General features: G+C 35.2%; 1 protein-coding gene across 41 annotated transcripts in view, besides 1 other annotated feature; it reads right to left on the minus strand.

Moving 5' to 3' along the window:
• PPFIA2 (PPFI scaffold protein A2) overlaps positions 1 to 22054 on the minus strand; it is a 501376-nt gene that overhangs the window by 432615 nt on the left and 46707 nt on the right. The gene's annotated exons all lie outside the window — the stretch shown is intronic.
• Positions 3338 to 3950: an enhancer, noted in NCBI's record as "NANOG hESC enhancer chr12:82087706-82088318 (GRCh37/hg19 assembly coordinates)". NCBI's record gives its function as "activates a minimal SCP1, AML or CMV promoter by ChIP-STARR-seq in naive and primed H9 embryonic stem cells {active_cell/tissue: H9 hESC(naive and primed)}" and the evidence as "EXISTENCE:reporter gene assay evidence [ECO:0000049][PMID:30033119]".

The following is a 22054-nucleotide window of genomic DNA, read 5'->3' on the forward strand; positions in this document are numbered from 1 at the left end:
GACTGCTAGAAAAGTAAAGCAACGTGGCCCATGGGTAAACTACTAAATTCCATTCCATGTGAAGAGTATATTAATTTCCTATTGCTTCTGTAATGAATTTCCACAAATTAGTGACTTAAAATAACACAAATTTATTATTTCACAGATTTGAAGGTTAGAATCTAAAAATCAAGGTGTTGGCAGGGGCTATGTTCCTTCTGCAGACTTCAGAGGAGAATCCATTTCCTTGCCTTATCCAGCTTTTAAAGGCTGCATGCATTTTTTGGCTTATGGCCTCTTCCTCCATCTTCAAAGAGCATTATTTCAATCTCTAGTTCTATGTTCACATCTCTTTTTCTAACACTAACCCTTTTGCCTCCTTCTTATAAGGACTCTTACATTGGATGCACCTAGCTAATTCAGAATTCTCTCTCCATCTCAAGATTCTTAACCGACCTAATGTTCTCACACCCACAATGTCCCAAAGGTAACATAGCCACATGTCCTGGGATATAAGATGCAGACATTTTGGGGGTTCCTTATGCAGCCTACCACAAGGGGTAATTAAAAATGTAAGTTAGAACAGGCTTGGCCTGAATGTAAGAATACCTTGGATTCAAACCAAATTAAACTTTCTTGACCAGCCCAGGCAGGAGTGACCTCTCCATCCACTGAACTTCCATTATACTTATTTTCATCTATATATTGCCTGATATTATCATTCTATGTGTTTTCTTTCCACATAAATCCTAACTCTCTTAGCATAGGTTTATCCATACCTCTCTATATTCTGTAATGTTTCAATAAATATGTTGATTCGAGAAAAATAAATGGAAAGACAGTTTCAGTGGGCAGTTTCCTGTGTGTGGGAGGACTCTGCCTTAAAGTATCCTCTTTCAGTACCTGAAATTCCTTTTATTATATACTGCTTTCTGTTCTGTGGCATTGAATGCTCAGGCACAATGACAAGATAACACCTTATTGGAATTAGTCACCAATACTAAGTGAATCATTTCAACAGATTTTGCCTGAACCTCCACTGCAAACTCATTAGGAGGAAGTATATTAAGTTAGTCATTCTTTTATTGTACAGATTGCATTTGCCAAGTGTCTTTCACATAAGATTAATTCAACAAGGACCTATTAATGGATAATAGTTAGCTAAAAGCAAACTTTAATTAGCTGTGGAAAGGAGATAAGTAACTTTTGACCAGGGGAAACACCAAGAAACAGTATTTAGCAAGGAAGAAATTGTCCAAAAGAGAAAGAAGAAAAAGATAAATTTTATTTTATAATATTCTTTAGAATGTCTTTGGAAATTGTGATAGGAAGACTCTAAAATGGTTCCTAGTGATTTCTACCTCCTGGTATTCACACCCTTGTGTAATCCCCCTCTCTTACATGTAGATGTTTAGGCCTAGTAAAAATATGGTTAAGTGTTGGGATGTCTTCTTGTCTCTCCTGTGATTAGGTTACTATAGACTGACTTTCTCTCTTCCTCTCTCTCTCTCTCTGACACACACACACATACACAAACACAGACACACACACACACACACACACACAAAACCTGTCTGGGGGAAGTTGCCACACTGTACAGCTTATGGGAAGATCAAGGTAGCAAGAAACTGATGTCTCATGCCAACCACTAGCCAGGAAAGGAAGCTTGCCAAGCTCAGGTTAAGTGAATTCAGAAGTTGCTCCTCCCACAGTTTGAGCCTGAGCTGATGTCAGCCCTAGCTGATACTTTGATTGCAGCCTTGTGAGAGATCTGGAGTCTGAGGACCCAGCTAAACCGTGCCAAATTCCTACCCACAGATATTATGAAATAATATAAATTGTTTTAAGCCAGTAAGTGTTCAGGTAATTATTTACACAGGAATAAATAACTAATTTTAGAGTCAATATTCATATATTTCTAATCTGTTATTGAGTTTTCTATGTTCACCATACAAGTGCTCATTATAAAATAAAAATATTTTACAGGTTGAATCTTTTTAGACCAATGAATCCATAAAAGAAATAAGCAATTTTCTTCCTCTGGATTTTATGGTCTGGTATTATAATTCTAATTACACTTCGAAAAGCAAAGCGATGTTAGAAAAACAATAATAAATGATCATTCAATTGATTGATGTTGACAACTATCAATATGAATCATAAAATTGTACACATAACTTGTACTGTATCTGCTTCCACACATATTTTCATAGTATTGGTCAATTTTGAATGTATAACAATCATTAAATTTCTAAGAAAAACATTTTTGTGGTGATAAATTCTAGGTGGAGTTTTGATACCCTAAAGCCATATAACTATCAATAAAGATATAAAATTCTATGACGAAAAAGCAGTTATTTTTAATTATTTATAAATAGCTTGGCCTAGTTGACAATAATGTTTAAAAAGCAACTAATTTTTAGTTGCTGAATATATCATCACAGTAGATGATTTATACTTTTTTAAACCTGAAATACTTTCTAACATAAGTACTCCTTAGTCAATATCTCTGACCACATAATGAAAATATCTATCCAACTCATTTTTACCTAGTGTTTTGGAATAAATGAGGCAGTTTAAGTCTCTTTTCAGGAAGCATTATAAAGTGTATAAGAGATAATATGATATAGTCTTATATATCATAAGGTTAGATGTTTGTCCCCACCCAAATCTCATGTCGAATTTTAATCCCCAGTGTTGGAGGTGGGGTCTGGTGGGTGGTGTTTGGATCATGGGGGCAGATCCCTCATAACTCGGTGATGTCTTGGTAATAGTGAGTTCTCATGAGATCTGCTCATCAAAGAGTGTGTGGAACCTCCCCTCTAACTTTCTTTTGGTTGCTCCTGCTTTCACCGTGTGATGTCCCTGTTCCCCCTTCACTTCCCACCATGACTGAAAGCTCTCTGAGGCTTCTCCAGAAGCCAAGCAGATGCCCACACCATGCTCCTTGTAAAGCCTGCAGAACTGTAAGCCAATTTAAATTACCCAGTCTCATATATTTCTTTGTAGCAATGCAAGAATGGCCTAATACAGAAAATTGGTACCAGGAGTTTGGGGCACTGCTATAAAAATACCTAAAAATGTGGAAGTGACTGTGTAACTGGGTAACGGGCAGAGGTTGGAAGAGTTTGGAGGGCTCAGAAGAATACAAAGAGATAAGGGAAAGTTTGGAACTTCTTAGAGACTGGTTAAATGGCTGTGACTAAAATGCTAATAGTAATATGGATGGTAAGGTCCAGGTGTCAAGGTCTTAGATGGAAATGAGGAACTTACAGGAACTGGAGCAAAGTTTACACATGTTATGCCTTAGCAAAGATCTTGGCTGCATTCTGTTCCTACTATAGGGATCTGTGGAAGTTTAAACTAAAGAGTGATGATTAGGGTATTTGATGAAAGAAATTTCTAATTAACAAAGTGTTCAAGATGTGGTCTGGCTACTTTTAATAGCCTATGTTCAGATACAGGGGCAAAAAAAAATGACCTAAGATTGGAATTTATGTTTAAAAAAACAATGCATAAAGTTTGGAAAATCCATACCCTGGCCATGTGATAGAGAAAGAAAAGAGTTTTTATTTTTCCAGGAGAGAAATTCAAGGAGGCTGAAGAGCAACCACTTGCTAGAGAAATTTGCATAACTAAAAGGGACCCAAGTGCTGATAGCCAAGACAATGGAAAAAGGCCTCAAAAGCATTTCAGAAAACTGTGTGGCAGCCCCTCACATCCATCACAGGCCTGGAGACCTAGGAAGAAAGAATGGTTTCATGGGCCAGACCTGGGGCCACCACTGTCCTGTGCAGCCTTCTTGGCATCCTGGTTGCTCCTGCTCCAGCCTTGGATCAAAGGGTTCCAGATACTGCTAGTGCTGCCAGATACTGATAGTGCAAAAGCCACTGAAAGCCTTGGTGGCTTCCATGTGGTGTTAAGCCTGTAGGTGTACAGAGTACAGGAGTGAATGAGGTTTGGTGCTATCTGCCTAGATTGCAGAGGATGTATTGAATAGCCTCAGTGCCCAGGCAAAAGCCTGCTGCAGGGGCAGAGTCCCCACAGAGAGCCTCTCCTAGGGAAGCTCCAATGGGAAAAGTTGGATTGGAGCCCCCACACAGGTTCCCCATGAGGGCACTGCATAGTGAAGCTATGAGAGAGAGGCTACCACCCTCCAGATCAGAGAACTGTAGATCCACCAGCAGCTTGCAACCTGTGCCTGGAGAAGCCACAGGCATTCAACAACCTGTGAGAGCAGCCTGGTGCTTAACTTTGCAAAGACACAGAAGTGGAGCTTTCCAAGGCCTTGGGAGTCCACCCCTTGCACCAGTTTGCCCTGGATATGGGATACGGAATAAAGATTATTTGGGAGCTTTAAAATTTAATGACTATCCTCTTTGGTTTCATAATTGCATGAGGTCTACAGCCCCTTTCTTTTGGCTAATTTCTCCTTATTGGAGTATGTTTGCCTAATGCCTATAACTGCATTGAATCTTGGAAATAACTAATTTGTTTTTTATTTTTCAGGCTCATAGGTGGAAGGGAATTGCTTTATCTCTGCTGAGACTTTGAACTTTTGAGTTTACACTGGAATTAGTTAAAAATTTGAGGGACTTTTGAGAAGGCATGATTGTATTTTGCAATGTGAGAAGGACATGAGATTTGGGAGGGGCCAGCAGTAAAATGATATAGTTTGAATATTTGTCCCCACCCTACTTTTATGTGGAATTGTAGTCCCAGTGCTGAAGATAGGGCCTGGTGGAAGGTGTCTGGATCATAGGAGCATATCCTTCATGGCTTGATGGTGTCTTTGTGGTAGTAAGCTCTTGCGAGATCTGGTCATTTAAAATGTGGCACCTCCCTATCCCCTCTTGCTTGCTCCTACTTTTGCCATGTGATATGCCTGTTCCCCCTTCACCTTCTGCCATGATTGAAAGCTCCCTGAGGCTTCTTCAGAAGCCAAGCAAATGCCAGCACCATGCTTCCTGTAAAACCTACAAAACTGTGAGCCAATTAAACTTTTTTTCTTTGTAAATTACCCAGCCAGGTATTTCTTTGCAGCAATGCAAAAATGGCCTAATACAAGATACTTTTTAAAAAAACAATATAAATTATTTCCCTTTTCATAAGCATTTGCAAATGATTCAGCCTTACTCTGTTCAGAAAAACACCAGCCAAAAAATAAAAATATAGTTTCATTAGCAAACTTTTCTGCTCAAATGATCATCTCTATACAGCAATTGTTTTTGGCTTCTTCTGAATGTTTTTGCACTTTATATTTCCCAACTCTGGTTTCCTTTGGCAATTCCCTGACCTCATTTCTTAATTCTCAGTGCTATGTTATATAATTGTCTGAATAAGCAGTATCCCCCCAAAATGAGACAAATTTATTGAGAATTTTGCAATCAGAAAATCAGCAAAAAGGCTAATTTAATATTAACATATTGTGATTTTTGTGTGGTGTAATTGAGTGTTGGTATTAATACAAGAGCTTTAGGCCTAGGATGCCTGGATTTGAATATTGGCTCTGACACTGTACAGATGTGTAACCTTGGGCTAGTTACTTAAGAGTTTTGTGTTTTAATTTCCCACATATAAAACTTACGTAACAATAGTACCTGCCTCTGATGATTCTTGGGAAGGTAAATGTGTACACACAGCAAATGCAAATAAGGGTTAAGTGGCAGTAGCACAAATAGCAATAGTAGCAGCAGTAGTAGACAGTGAAATACTGACTTGATGTGCTTTGTTTAAATTTTGATTTGCACATTGGCAGGAGGATAAATCTGGTCTTGTCAATTCCTCTACTGGGTCTGTGGCTGCAGGCTCTTAACTCTCATCATCCAGTCATGAAGAATGTGGTAGCATAATTTCATCAGGAAGTATTGGGACCCAGTGAAGGGTGAGGAAAAAGACTGACATATTGCATATTTGCATATTTAAACCTTGCATATTTAATTTACACACTTATGAAGGAACCTAGTCTTGCTTATGAAGCAAAGACATAAGCCAAGTTTAACAAATCTGACAATATTTTTACAGATCGAATGGGGACCTCATTGAACAGGGTCTCTTATACTCATCCTGTGCATAATGGCCTCAGCGAAACTTTTTCTTTATTAAACATACTGCTATGTTTTCAGTTGTTCATACTTTGCTTTTGATTGAGCAGTTTATTAAGATATGTGATGAATTCTTCACCCAGTAAAGGAATTAAAGATTATTTGACACTTCCTTGGTGATAGGCAGAAAATAAGTTAACCTATTAAAATGCAATCCAATTAGTCTTGACCTATATGATCCCCCGCTACTAGATGAAAAGATATTCTCTGATCCTTAAACCTTATGCACTTGAAAAGAAATAGAGTCCTACCTTTTGACCTTAATTTCTTTTCTCTTGAGAAATAGGTTTTTTTGACATGTGAAGTTAGAGAATATTAATCTTAAACTCAGGTTTGTTATGAGTCTAGAAGCTTCTTTGTCATTGTTGAAATGAATCATAGACAGACAATGCCTAATGAGAGAAATGGCAGGATTACTAGAAAATGTAGATCTCCCTGAATTTCTAAATTTTGCTTAATTAATATGTTTAAAATGTATAATGAATTAAGCATAAAAAGTAAAACATCTTTCCCATTCTCTTTCAATTGAAAGGAATTATCAGAAAGTGTATACACTCCAAGTGACATATTTCTCAGTAAATCTTTTTTAGGCCCTTTAGGCTATTCTGATTCATTAAATGTCACACAGTATGAGAAATTACATAAATTATGATACATTATTTAAAAACTTATTTAGAGACTAAAATTAAGTATTCTATTTATAATTCTTTTCCTTTGCAATAACTATCAGCTCAGACTGGATAAGTATATCTAATTAATCTGAGGAAGGAAAGGGGAAAAAGCCATGGAAATTAAGTAAGTCACATTTAAGATTATTAAAGTTTTATAAGCCACTTCAGCTAAAAAATCTATACAGGAATATGTCAAACTATTTGATTTAGATTTACATTATTCAGAGCAAGACAATTCAAATTCTTTAGTAATAACATTCGTCCAGAAACTACAAGATAGCATAGTTTTCCTTAGTAAACTGAAAATCAATCAGTAGAAAAACTTTTCCAAAATGTTACAAATGCTCCCATATGTCTGTCTCCTTCACTATTTAGAACATTTCCTCTAGACCAAGACTTTGCTTTGTTCACTGGTCTATTTCCAGGCACCTGGATCAATCAGTGTCTGCATATGATAGGCTCTCTCTCAATAAGTAGAGTTGAATGCCTAGATGAATATACTATTTCAATTCAAGTCAGGCTAGAATGATCAATCAAGGAAATATCCAACATTAATTTTTAAGAAAACAAACTAGATATCATGTTTGGAACCTGAATGCAGTAATACTATAGCCAATGTGATAAGAATAATCCTATACAGACACATTTGTTGAGCAATATTTTTAAAGAAGCCACTTAAAATGTAGTAATATAAATGTCACCATGGATATAAGTATTCAAGAACAGAAACATTAAGGTGACAAAAGTAAAGATTCCAAGACTTACTCTGAGAATTTCTGATTCGATAGGCCAGGAGTTGAAAAACTTTGTTTCTAAGAAAGAAGATTTATTCATGTAGAATTGCTATGAGTTGAATGTCCCCTCCAAAACTCATGTTGAAATGTAATTACCATTGTGATGGTGTTAAGAGGTGGGACCCTTATGAGGTAGTAAAACCATGAGGGTTTTGTCCTCATAAATGAATTAGTGCTGTTATTGCAGAAGCAAGTTTCTGATAAAAGTGAGTTTAGCCCCCTCATGCTCTCACTCTTAAACATGCTTTCTTGCCCTTCTACCTTCCACCATGAGATGACACAGCAAGAAGGCCCTAGCCAGATGAGGACCCCTTGACTTTGGATTTCCTAGCCTCCAGAACTGTAAAAAATAAATTTCCCTTATTTATAAATTAGCCTGTGTTATGCTGTTATCACAGCACAAAATGAACTTAAGAGAAGAATGGTTGTGAATAAAGAGCCAGAGGAAAGAACATGAAGAATTAGAAGTGTCAGGAAATAAATATTTTGTTTATCATTTGAAGTAAACCCTTTGTTGCAAATGAGTTTGCATATATTTTGGCCATTCCCTATGCCTGTGGAAGAAGGGTAGGTATGAGATGCACAGTTTAGAAGTGTTACTAATTTCAACCTATCTAGTCCTTTATACACACACACACACACACACCACAAACACACACATCTAGTGGAAACAAAAAGGTTCATTGATTTTTCTCCTTTAAAGTAGTGGTTTTGAGTAGACTGTATATGAGTTATCTATTGTATGTTCCATGACAATTAACATTTGTTGTAATAAAATGCATTTTAGCAAAACAGACTTTATTATAAGCGTTGGTAGAGCTAAGATTTTTACTATCTATGAGTAGCTTTGAAAGCAGACATTTCTACTAACTCAGAAAAGCCTTAGATCACATATTTCACTATCAAGTAATATGCAGAATTAGGCCATGCATCTATTATAAAACCACAGAAAAATTTTAGAAATAAAACATTATAGGATTAAAGAAATTGTAAGAAATTACTAAAGGAGATATAGAGAGTATAGCACATTTCATGTGATCTACTCATGTCCTCAAACATTAGTAAAAGATAAAACAAGATGACTTTAATGGTGACTTAAAATTGATTTGTTTCTATAGGGGTTTAAAAGTTTGATAGTGTTGAGTAAAGACTTTACTCTGGTAAACATTATACCAAATTATTTTGATAAATATATTAATACATCAAAAGCATTTTTAAATTTTCATGATTTCAATATTGTACAATTTTTGCAGAGATATTTGCTTCTTAGTATAAAGGTTTTTTCACCATTTATCATAAAAATTTTATGTAACCAAAATTATGTAGTGGTAAAATTGCTTTCTTCATAGTCATAGTAATATTATAAGCTCTTATTGAAGACATATAAACATAAAATAATAATATCCTCTCTAAAACAAAAAAAAAATAGCTTCTTTCTTGACTATTTGAATTATATTTAGGTTAGTTAAGTATAATCTAAATGAAAGAAAAAACAAATTATTGCATTCTAAGATTATGCCATAAACCTAAATGTTTGCTTTTAGTGGATTTCATCACCATGGTTGATCTCTATCATATAATATTAAGCAATTTCAATTATTCTCTCTGAATACACATGTCTTAACCCTGAATCATCCTCCAAGTATCTTCCTATCTCTCTAGTCCATGTAGAACTAAAAGAGTAATACACATTTATCTTTCTCCATATCTAACTTATTCAATTCCTAACCTGTCTCTGCATCCACATTTCTATTGAATCTTATTTTGCCAAGAGTAAAATAACCTTAATATATTGCTAAATAAAATTCTTACTGGATGTTCATAGTACATAATATAGTTGACTCTTCAATCCTTGAAATTTTAACCCATGAAACTTGTCTTCATCTTTCATGAAAATATTGGACTTTCCCATATCCTATGACCATTTGTCTTCATACTGCTTCATGGATGCCTCTTCACCTGAGCTCCCCTGAAATGGTGGTGTTCTTCAGTTTAATCCTTGACCATATATCTTCATACTCTGTAATCCTTTTGGATGATCTCATCCATTCACAGAGTCATAATCACTAGCAATGATATATACTGATGATGGCTAAACCTTTATCTCTTCTAGTGTTTATTTTCACTGAGACACATAAAATATAATGTTATATATAAAATATGTAAATGAAAATATTTTTAAATTAGTTACTAATCAAATGCAGAGTTCTACAACTGTATGTCTACAGCTTTCAAATTAAAAAACAAAACTTAAAATTCCCATTCTCATGCTTTATAAAGATTTTTGTCTACCAAATATAAAATCTGTCATAACATGCAGAAAATTAAATGATGAATTATAAGAATAAAATATGGAACCTGGAAACCCTCTCTGACCAGAATAGGTTTGGTTTTTGTTTTGTTTTAACAAATTCCAAAGCATATGGTTCTGGGAAATGTGTTTCCAAACAATTTTCTAGCATTATTTAAAGATTACTAGTTCCACTTCTGGCATTGTGCACTATGTCTGAATTTATACATTGACTGCATACAGTGTTTAGAAGGATAAAAAAATAAAATGATAACCAAAAATTATCACAGAAATATTCCAGAGAACAGTTACCAAAAAAGACTATGGAGAAAACAAAAACCAAAATAACTAACATCGGTTGGATATACATATTGATTAGTTGGATATAAATAAATCAGTTGGTTATAAAATTGAGTGAAAATAAAAATTTTGTGTGGAGATAAACTTTACTAAGAATGCTCATAGTTTAAATTTCTTTTATTTATATACTATAAAAATTATTTTTAATGTCACTGACAAGTTGCACCCAAATTTGGATTAAAAGGTTTGGAAGATAAAGAAGAAACAAACCATGGAGAAGTGAGTAAATTCGGTAAGAACTTTGAATAAGTAAAGGTATACAAGATTTTAAGACTGACAGCTTGGGTTCCAGAATGAAACGGCTTCCTTCTGCACATACAGGTTATATGGCAAATTAGCCTCTGTGAACTGCATTTTCTCATCTGTGAGATGCAGGCCATCATGGTGCACAATACAAAGGATTGTTGGAAAGATTAAATGAAATGTTACAGTGCTTGACATTTAGTCATCATTCAGCAAATGTCACCTATAACTAAGTGTAGCTGCTGTAACTGCTGCTATTACTGCTCATTACAGGTGGGAAGTTGACCTGCTGCCTCCATATTAGGGCTGGGGTCAAACTGATTCATGCATTTAGAGAGAGTTATGAGGGTACCATCTTGAAGAAACCACACAATGTTGGAACACTGTTAATACATCCATCCACATAATTTTGATCCCTGAGACAAGAAGAATTTATGGGGTTAGAGGCAGTAGAATTTAGGGGTTAGAGCCTGGGCTTTGTGTCAGGCTACTTGGGCTCAAATCACGGCTCTGAAACTTTCTAAATGCATTATCTTAATTAAGTTATGTAACCTCTTTATTTATCTGTAAAATGAAGATAAAAATTATAACTGACTAAATGGGTTGTGAAATTTAAAAAGCACATTTTATATAAATCACTAGATAGTTTATGAGACATAGTGCTCAATAAATAAATATCAATCAGTGCCTAATATTCTACTATTCTTTCTGTCAGTATGTTGTAAAAAATAGTAATACAGTTCTCCATTAAAACTATACAAATAAAGCTTATTATTTGTGTTTCATTTCGTCAGTCACACAACTGTTCTGATGAACCCCGAACTGAACTCTTTGTCTCATTTAAATCAACCCATAAGAGTAAACTATACACTTTATGGGAAGACTAAAAAAAAAAAAAAAAAAAAAGTAAGAAGAAAGTGGCTGCAACTTAGATTTACAAGATTTAAGTAAGTGAGGAAAGAGAAAGAGAAACAACAGGAAGCTGAAGACTGGAAAAAGTGAGAGAAAATGTGGGATGTAAGCTGGCATTTCTTATCACTTGCTCCTAGCAGCTGGCTGCTGGAGAGGAGTAAGAAAAACAGGGCAGCCAGCAAACACCCAGGGCATAAGTTCTCATTCTGAGACCTACCCCCACCATCAATGACACTGTGGCTGCTTGTATCTAGTGCCACAGCACAGATTATGCTGATGTAGTTCCACACATGCATCCCTTCAGTACACAAATGTGTTGTAGCACTTCCCAGTCTAAATGTGTCTTTTCTTGGTCCATTTTCTTTCCCCAGTTACTATAAATTTTTCTATTGCCATTGACTGCCAAATTTTTAATGTTGTCTTCACTAGTTTCTCCACTATATTACCCACTTCGCTCTGACCTAGCTTTAAATCCCATCACTCCAGTGAAATCAATCTTGTCTATATCACCAAATTATTTTAATCCACTTCATTAAATGTCAGTAGCAATTACTGAAGTTGTCTACACTCTATTTGTCAAAACAGTGGCGTTGATGATCACAGTAAGGATTGTGGGTTTTAATTAAAATGTACAGAAAGCCACTGAAAGGATTTTGGCAGGGGAAGCCTCCAATGACACTAGGCTCTTTGGGCTTTATTCTTACTTCTCTGGTTTCTCCTTGTCAAACAAAATTCTAAATTCCAGTTGTTATAGACTAAATGCTGTGTGCCCTAAAAATTCATATTTTGAACCCCTAAATCCCAATGCGATCATATTAGAAGACAGAGTGTTTTGGAGGTAATTAGGTTTAGATATGATTATGAGGGTGAAGCCCCTATTATCAAACTAGTGCCCATATAAAACAGGAAAGTGGCACTGGAGCTTCTTCCCTCCCCCGTGTGAGGACACACCAAGAAGGCAACTATCTGCAAGCCAGAAAGAGAGCTTTTACCAAGAACCAAATCTACCAGCCTTTAATCTTGGACTTCCCAGCCTCTAGAATTATGAGCAACAAATGTCTGTTGTTTAAGCCACCTGGTCTGTGGTATTTTGTTACAGCAGCACAAGTAGACTAAGACGCCGGTGTTCCCCAGAGTTCAGTCCACAGACCTCTTCTCTTTTTTCTCTACACTTCTTCTTGAGGGGTTTCTACCCAGTTTCATAACCTTATTAAAGGCTACTTACTGTCAATGAGTTTCATATTTGTACTTTTGCAAATTCTCCTCTGAGCTACAGATTTTTATAGCAATCTGTTTATCAGACATCTTATTAGACATCTCACAGACACCTCATACTAAATAAGTTTAAAATTTCTCTTTTTTACAGCCCCAATTTTTTCTCCTTCTTAGACTTCTCTATCTGAAAAAATCATTCCAACAAAACCAGAAAAACTGCTAGTCATCCTTGATTTTTATTCTTCCTCAATCCCCAAGTCCTATCCCTTAAGTAGTCCTATCAATCCAATGTACAGAATCCAATGTATAGCATCTTCTTTTCATCACTACTGCTGCTCAACTGTACCAACCCACTAACTTGTAACAGAAAAACTAAAATATGTCCCTCACTGTTATCACATTCACCCTCTTGCCCTCCTTCTCCACTTGCTTCAGCAGACTTCTCTGCTAGTATGGATCATGCCCTTCATTACTCCATACTTTTGAAATAAAGCCCAATTTCCTTATTGTGGCCTAAAAATCCCACCATAATCCCGTGCCTTGGCTACACCTCACCTCCACCTCACCTCACTCATGGCTCTGACGAGCTCACTGAGTCCCTAGATGCACCGAGCATCTTCCTAATGCCACTGTGTACCAAGCTGTGTCTTACATATGATACTCTTTCTCTCTGGAACGCTCTTTCTTCTGCTCTTCGTAAGGCAATTGTTTATTAATCCTTCAGACCTCAGCTTAAATGTTGCCTACTCACAGAGTCCTTGTTCACTTCAAGTATCTTGATTTGACTTATTATTCTATTCCTCAACCATTTGTTCCTTCATTGAATTAAGATAAAATTATTTTATACCTATTTGTTGTTTACCTGTTTGTTGTTTGTATTTCTGCTAACACAAATAACACAGACATAGGATCTTGTCTCTTGTATTCACTAAGGGATGCTTAGTTCTAGTACATTTCCTGGACTTTGCAGCACTCAATATGTGAAATGAATGAACTCAAGAATGAAAGAGACATTCAATGTACACTTAAATAGTGAAGTAGGGTGTGCAAATTATAACATTAAACAGGTTAAACTGTGTTGTTGTGTAGTAGAGTTTCAATATTAAACATAATTGTCATCCAAAAATATTATAGCTCAATTAACAAGTATTTATTGAACCCAGTACCTATTCTGTGCCCAAAATACTGCCTGGTGTTATGAAGAAGGTTGAGTAAAAAATAAAATGGTCACTGATTTTAAAGGTTATAATATTTTAGAGGAGCTAAGGTATAAACACACAAAACAACTTGAAAAGGATATATAAAATGACTTCATGATGAGAAAAACACCTGTGAAATATGTAATAAAACTTAATGATAGCAAATGAAACTTGTCTTTGATGGGAGTGACCTCAAACACCCAAGGCCCTTCAGAAAGGGAGCATCAATGAGAACAGATAAAATAAAAGACAAGTGCAGACTTCACTAAAATAGGAAAATTAAATTACCCATATACTTGCACATACAAGGTTCATTTGCCTTGGGAAGTTTTAATACCCACAATTCTGAATTTTTCTATAAGTTATATTAAAAAGCCAAGGGACATTACTTGAGGATAGCAACTTAAATATAATATATAAATATTTATTAAGAACCTATCTTGTGGGCTGGGCACGGTGGCTCATACCTGTAATCCCAGCACTTTGGGAGGCCGAGGCAGGTGGATCACCTGAGGTCAGGAGTTTGAGACCAGCCTGACCAACATGGTGAAATCCTGTCTCTACTAAAAATACAAAAATTAGCTGGGCATGGTGGCACATGCCTGTAATCCCAGCTACTTGGGAGGCGGAGGCAGGAGAGTCATTTGAACCTGGGAGGCAGAGGTTGCAGTGAGCCAAGATTGTGTCATTGCACTCCAACCTGGGCAACAAGAGTGAAACTCTGTCTAAAAAAAAAAAAAAAAAAAAAAAAAAAAGAACCCATCTTCTGTCCAGCCTCTACCTGGTGTATTGTTACAAAAATGAAAGATACGGCCGGGCGCAGTGGCTCACTCCTATAATCCCAGCAGTTTGGGAGGCCGAGGCGGGCAGATCACGAGGTCAGGAGATCGAGACTATCCTATCCTGGCCAACACGGTGAAACCCCATCTCTACTAAAGAATACAAAAAAATTAGCTGGGCTTGGTGGTGGGCGCCTGTAATCCCAGCTACAGAGGAGGCTGAGGCAGGAGAATGGCATGAACCTGGGAGGCGGAGCTTGCAGTGAGCTGAGATTGCACCACTGCACTCCAGCCTGGGGTGACAGAACAAGACTAGGTCTCAAAAAAAAAAAAAAAAAAGAAAAGAAAAGAAAAGGAAGATACAGTACCTACTCACAGAGTGTCCATAGTCCAGTTGGAGGGAGAAGGAAGGAAGATAATCCTATGAACCTCAAATCAATATACATTGCAACAGGTGGTATGTAAAAGATACAAGCACAATATCTCAGTGAATTAATACAATAGATTCTTGGGGAGTAAAGATTTTCTCCACACAGAGCCAAAGACCCTTACTGAAAGGTAAAAATGCAAAAACTCAAACCAAACAAGGTGATTCAGTTGATTATTTTGTCATGATGCATGACTGTCTCATCAGCCAGTTGAATTTTCCACTGTAGTAATCATTTTTACTGAAAAATAGGTTCTCTTTTGTAGAAACTGTAGTTTATAGGAAATCATTTGAGTCACACATTAAGTCATGTTCTAAAGTTTCAGTGTCCAATTCAGCAGCTACTAGTCACAGATAGGTATTTAGCACTTGAAATGTGGCTATTTGCCACGTGTTAAAATGATATTTTGGATATATTGATTTAAACAAAAATATACTATTAAAAGTATTTTTTTATTTATTTTTCTTATTTCAAAATGGGACTTTTCAAAAATTTGAAACTGCATGTGTATCTCACATTGTATTTCTACTGGGCAATGCTGCTCTAAAAAGTTTATGAAACAAGTTAATACTATTTTTCAGGAATAGGATGGGACCAACTTAGAAGATTAGACATTGTCCAATACGGAGTTTGCAAAATTCTTTCTAAAACAATATGTAATATAAATAAGGAAGCATAAAAGTTTAACACTATGTACTGCATAAGTATTGTCTTATCCATGTGGGAAAGCACTGAGCACTTTTAAAAATATGGTTCCATCTAGGGAGGCTATATTACATATTTTCAATTAAATTTGAAATGCATTTACAGTATTGTGCTACTGTAGCAGAGAACTTCATAACTATCTTTACTGTTACTTTTATGAAGCTATTTATTGTGCTACTTTTGTTGCTTCCACAACCTTAAAAATTATACAAAAATGCATATATTTTTTATTTATGTATAATACTTTCCATTTGAATTCATTGATTTCTAATAGAACTTTTTTATAAGTTAAAGCTAAAGAGAAAAGTCTAAATAAACATCAGGTAGAAATGTATAGTAATACCCGGCCGTGTGAGGTGTCAGTCTGCCCCTACCGGGGGGTGCCTCCCAGTTAGGCTGCTCAGGGGTCAGGGGTCAGGGACCCACTTGAAGAGGCAGCCCGCATAGCCAAGACAATCCTAAGCCAAAAGAACAAAGCTGGAGGCATCCTGACTTCAAACTATACTACAAGGCTACAGTAACCAAAACAGCATGGTACTGGTACCAAAACAGAGATACAGATCAATGGAACAGAACAGAGCCCTCAGAAATAACACCGCATATCTACAACTATCTGATCTTTGACAAACTTGAGAAAAACAAGCAATGGGGAAAGGATTCCCTATTTAATAAATGGTGCTGGGAAAACTGGCTAGCCATATGTAGAAAGCTGAAACTGGATCCCTTCCTTACACCTTATACAAAAATCAATTCAAGATGGATTAAAGACTTAAACGTTAGACCTAAAATCATAAAAACCCTAGAAAAAAACCTAGGCATTACCATTCAGGACATAGGCACGGGAAAGGACTTCATGTCTAAAACACCAAAAGCAATGGCAACAAAAGCCAAAATTGACAAATGGGATCTAATTAAACTAAAGAGTTTCTGCACAGCAAAAGAAACTACCATCAGAGTGAACAGGCAACCCACAAAATGGGAGAAAATTTTCACAACCTACTCATCTGACAAAGGGCTAATATCCAGAATCTACAATGAACTCAAACAAATTTACAAGAAAAAAACAAACAACCCCATCAAAAAGTGGGCGAAGGACATGAACAGTCACTTCTCAGAAGAAGACATTTATGCAGCCAAAAAACACATGAAAAAATGCTCACCATCACTGGCCATCAGAGCAATGCAAATCAAAGCCACAATGAGATATCATCTCACACCAGTTAGAATGGCAATCATTAAAAAGTCAGGAAACAACAGGTGCTGGAGAGGATGTGGAGAAATAGGAACACTTTTACACTGTTGGTGGGACTGTAAACTAGTTCAACCATTGTGGAAGTCAGTGTGGCGATTCCTCAGGGATCTAGAACTAGAAATACCGTTTGACCCAGCCATCCCATTACTGGGTATATACCCAAAGGACTATAAATCATGCTGCTATAAAGACACATGCACACGTATGTTTATTGCGGCACTATTCACAATAGCAAAGACTTGGAACCAATCCAAATATCCAACAATGATAGACTGGATTAAGAAAATGTGGCACATATACACCATGGAATACTATGCAGCCATAAAAAATGATGAGTTCATGTCCTTTGTAGGGACATGGATGAAATTGGAAATCATCATTCTCAGTAAACTATCGCAAGAACAAAAAACCAAACATCACATATTCTCACTCATAGGTGGGAATTGAACAATGACAACACATGGACGCAGGAAGGGGAACATCACACTCTGGGGACTGTTGTGGGGTGGGGGGAGGGGGGAGGGATAGCATTGGGAGATATACCTAATGCTAGATGACGAGTTAGTGGGTGCAGCGCACCAGCATGTCACATGTATACATATGTAACTAACCTGCATATTGTGCACATGTACCCTAAAACTTAAAGTATAATAATAAAAAAACAAAAAAAATGGAAATTTAACAAAATAGAAAAAAAAAGAAATGTATAGTAATAATATACATTGTGTTTATTTTTATGTTTTTAATTGGAAGAAAAATTTTAAAAACAGAGGGTGGTATATAATTTAAAACCAAATTGAAAATGGCTTCAGATGTTCAGCATCTATTTGTAAACCAAACTAAAGATATGGAGACTCATCCACCAATTATTGTAAAATTTTAAAGAATGAAATTAGAATTTACTTTTAACTTAGTGAACCTCATGCAAAAAGTTTTCTTAAGTTATTTTGAAAAAAAAGTATTACTTGTAAAAGAATTATAACTGAGATTTATGTAGCTGAGTTAACATGAAGCAATAGTGACATGCAATAGCATTAAACTAAGTGGATAGTTACACTAGTTCTGTGAAGTGTCTTAAAACTGATTGTTACTATCTACTTTGTTTAGGGAATCTCTGTTAATATAAGAGACTCAGTTTACAACCTTCTTCAAATGATTAGGAATAACACAGCTGTTAAAATGCATGAGATTACACTGTAATAGCATTCTTTACCTAATAACAAATCAGGCCACAAATACTAATGAACATAATCACTGGGCCCTTAATGGAAGATGTCTGCTAATTTTGAAAGCTTTACAATTAGCTGTGATTCAATGAACCTGAATCCATGTTAAATTAAACTGTTAGGGAAGACAAAACAGTGTTGTTTCAGGCAGGCAATGCTAAAGGTTCTAACTGAATTTTCTCAAGGCAAGGTAATTTTAAAGATAAAATTGTTCTCTTCTTTTGTTACTGTAAAAGTGAAGCTCTGCTTCATTTATAAATTGTACTCAGATTAAAAACCCCCTTTTATTTTATTTTTTAAATTAATAACCTACCAGAGCCATCGGACTGCCAATGTTTCAAACCTTCTCTCTCATCTTTCTTATTGTTCAGGTTCCTCACATAGGGCTTCTTTCTGCCCAGCTCTGCAAGCCTATTCCAGCCTTAGAATCCTTACCCTTGCTGTTCCCTCTTCCTAGAAGGCTCTGCTCCTTGCTCCTCTCATAAATGGCTCCTTTTCATTTAAGTCTCAGTTCAAAGACAGCATTCCAGAGTTTTCTTTTAAAGTGCTCACCACTTCCCCTAATGTAGGAAGGGAATTATTCCTTTCTTTTTGTCAGATCCATCATCAAATTTTGATTTATTTTGTTAATTTTTTTGCTTGTTTATTGTTGGATTTTCCATTATGGAAACTACACTCCATGAGAGCATAAACCATTATTTAGATAATAACTGCCATAAACAAACTACCATTAACAAATGGTTGGTACACACACACACACGCATGCATACCACACATACACACACACATAGACTCACAAATAAATATATTTGTAAATATGTCATATATATTTTACAAAGTTAATTTTTTTGCTATTTGCTAGCAAGGTTTTTTCTATTAAAAATATATTATGAGAGCTTTCAAAGTCAATAAGCAGATCCCTGTAGCAAATTTATAACAGCTATAGGGTGTTCCACCATTTCAGTACACTAGATTATCAAATCTCCTGTGTTGAATACTTATATTAGCACCATACTTTTTTACTACTATAAATAGTAGTTTGTCTCTTATTTTTTAAATAGATATTTTTCACTTGCCTGATTGTTTTCTCAGGATAAATCCCTGTAAATTAAATTGCTAAATAAATAAGAATATACATATTTTAAATTATGGCTCATATTGCCATACTGTCTTCCCAAAATATTTTACCAGTTTCTTCTTAAATAAACATTATATAAATCTTGGCCATATTGAAATTATGAATACTTGCCAATTCAATAGGGGATAATATATAATTTCTTTTTTAATAAATTATGGCCTTTGCCTATTCTTCTACTGGAAAGTTTATTTTTTGTTGATTTCTAAGATCTATTCACATATTAAGACTTTAATATCTATAGTAAAATTACTCTCAGTTATAAATACTTTTCCAATATTTATATGTATTTTATATATCTTGGGGCATATATCTTTAGTTGCTTTACAGTAAAATCTGTTTTCCCTTCAGGATTTTTGAGTTTAGTATTAACTTTAAAAATGGGCACCTTCCACCCAAGACTATGAAAATTGCACACTCTCTCTCACACACACACACATACACACACACAATGTACATCTAATACTTATCACACATGTACATGCTATATATTGTATTTATAAAATATTTTATATTTCCAAAAACTGTTGTAATGTTTTAGATTTAAATATTTAATCAAGAAGTTTTAAATTTTGTTTAATCAACATGTAATAATTACAGTGACATGTAAATGATGTACAGTATAATACATGCAGGTATAAATATAGTTTGAGTATTTCTTATCTGAAATGCTTAAAATCAGAAGTGTTTCAGATTGAGTATTTTTTAGGATTTTGGAATATTTACATATACATAATGAGATATCTGTGATCAGCACCCAAGTCTAAACACAAAATTCATTTATGTTTCATATACATCTTATACACATAGAACTGAGATATTTTCATATAATATTTTAAATAATTTTATGCATGAAACAAAGTTTTGACTGTGTTTTGACTGCAACCTGTCACATGAGGTCAGGTATGGAATTTTTCACTTGTGACATCAGTCAGCACTCAAAAAGTTTTGGGTGTTGGAGCATTTGGGATTTCAGAATTGCACATTAGCTATGCTCAATCTGTATGTATATCCACCTGAATTTTCTTTAAACACTACTAAGGTTTTGCTACTTAGAAGTAAAATCTTTGGTCAAGCACAGTGCCTCACACCTGAAATCCCAGCTCTTTGGGAGGCCGAGAAGAGAACCACTTGAGCCCAGGAGTTCAAGACCAGCTTGGAAACATAGAGAGACCTCTTCACCATTAAAAATCAAAAACATTAGCCAGGTGTGGTACACATCTGTGGTCCCAGTGACTTGGGAGGCTGAGGTGGGAGGATTGCTTGCACCCAGGAATTTGAGGCTGCAATAAGCCATGATTGCACCACTGCACTCTGCCCTGGACAACAGAGTGAGATTCTGTCTCAAAAAATAAAAATAAAAAGAATATGAAATATTCAACCAACATATAATTAATTGTTATGGGAGCTATAAATAGAAAGTATTATCTCTCTCAATTGGCTTTGATCATTATAAACACACACATACACATAGAAACACACACATCCACCGTTTAACCCACAGAAATGAAATGCCAAGATTTTCATGCATTGTAAATCCCCATATAAACTAAACTATATGAACTAATTATAGAATACTATCTATCTATTTATCTATCTATCTATGTAGTCATTTCTAGATTCTCTATTATCTCCTATTGTTTCTTCATTGATCCCAGTATAATTATTGTGCTATAGTAATAACACCTGTATACCTGGTGGTGGGCAATTCTACACTTACCATTCAGAATTGTCCCATTTCCACATAGTTTTTGTTTGTGAATGAATACAAATAAGAATGGTTTTCTACTTAATACTTGCCTATTAGTGCCAACATCAGCTTGACTCTACTAAAAGGCACACAAGTGTATCTTTCCGTCTCTGTGGTGAAGCTTCTCTTTTGGGATGGGCTATACTTACATTTTTTTTTTTTTAATTAGGAGGAATATTTCCAAATGTCCTTCAGCAAGCCAGTATGGTACCTTATCAGTGCCCCAATGCAAAGCTCCAAAGCAAACAAAGGAAAACTCTACTGTAAGTGCTCAAATAACCATTTCTTATACTTCTGATACAATGAAAAAAAAAATTTCTTCAAAATTTTTCAGTTGCATGAGAAAATAATAATTCAACATTGTGCAAAAGAAGATTATATTAGAATATTTTACAAAAGTCATTCTCATACGTTTTATACTTACAGATATATTATATTTTTAAAACATTATTTTAAAGGAGAATTAACATCAATTATACTAATATGTTCTGTGTAAAACAACTTAGCACCACTTTTTTAAAAAGGCATTAATTCAATAACTACTATGCTGGTTGAAAGAAAAAGCAAAATTTGAGTTTCACATAACATTGGTCTCATTTTCATCCTGAATTTTAAACAAAAGTCTATAAACAAGATTAGAGAAATCGTTTTATAAATTTGAATGTTGAGATTTATATAAATATGCCATTATAAGAGTTTGATACAAAGTACTTAATATTTTCTATTGATATGTTCCAAAGAGAACCTCACAAAGAATATTTTTTCTGTATGGCAGGAAAAATGCTAAAATCCCTTAATTGCAAATGTGAATTTCCCAGCTGACATTAATTTTGGTTTATAAGGATGCACATTAAAAGCAGTGTTGCCTAAGCTCCTAAATATAAACTTAGAGTAAGAGTTTAGTAATAAGTATCAGTTATAGAGGCTATGTGTATAGGTTGCATTTTAGAATTCCTTGGTGTTTTTAGTCATGACTAATGAACAGCCCACTCTCAAATATATTCTGAAGGTA

The sequence above is a fragment of the Homo sapiens genome, chromosome 12, assembly GCF_000001405.40.
Source record: "Homo sapiens chromosome 12, GRCh38.p14 Primary Assembly".
In the NCBI taxonomy this organism is placed as follows: Eukaryota; Metazoa; Chordata; class Mammalia; order Primates; family Hominidae; genus Homo; species Homo sapiens.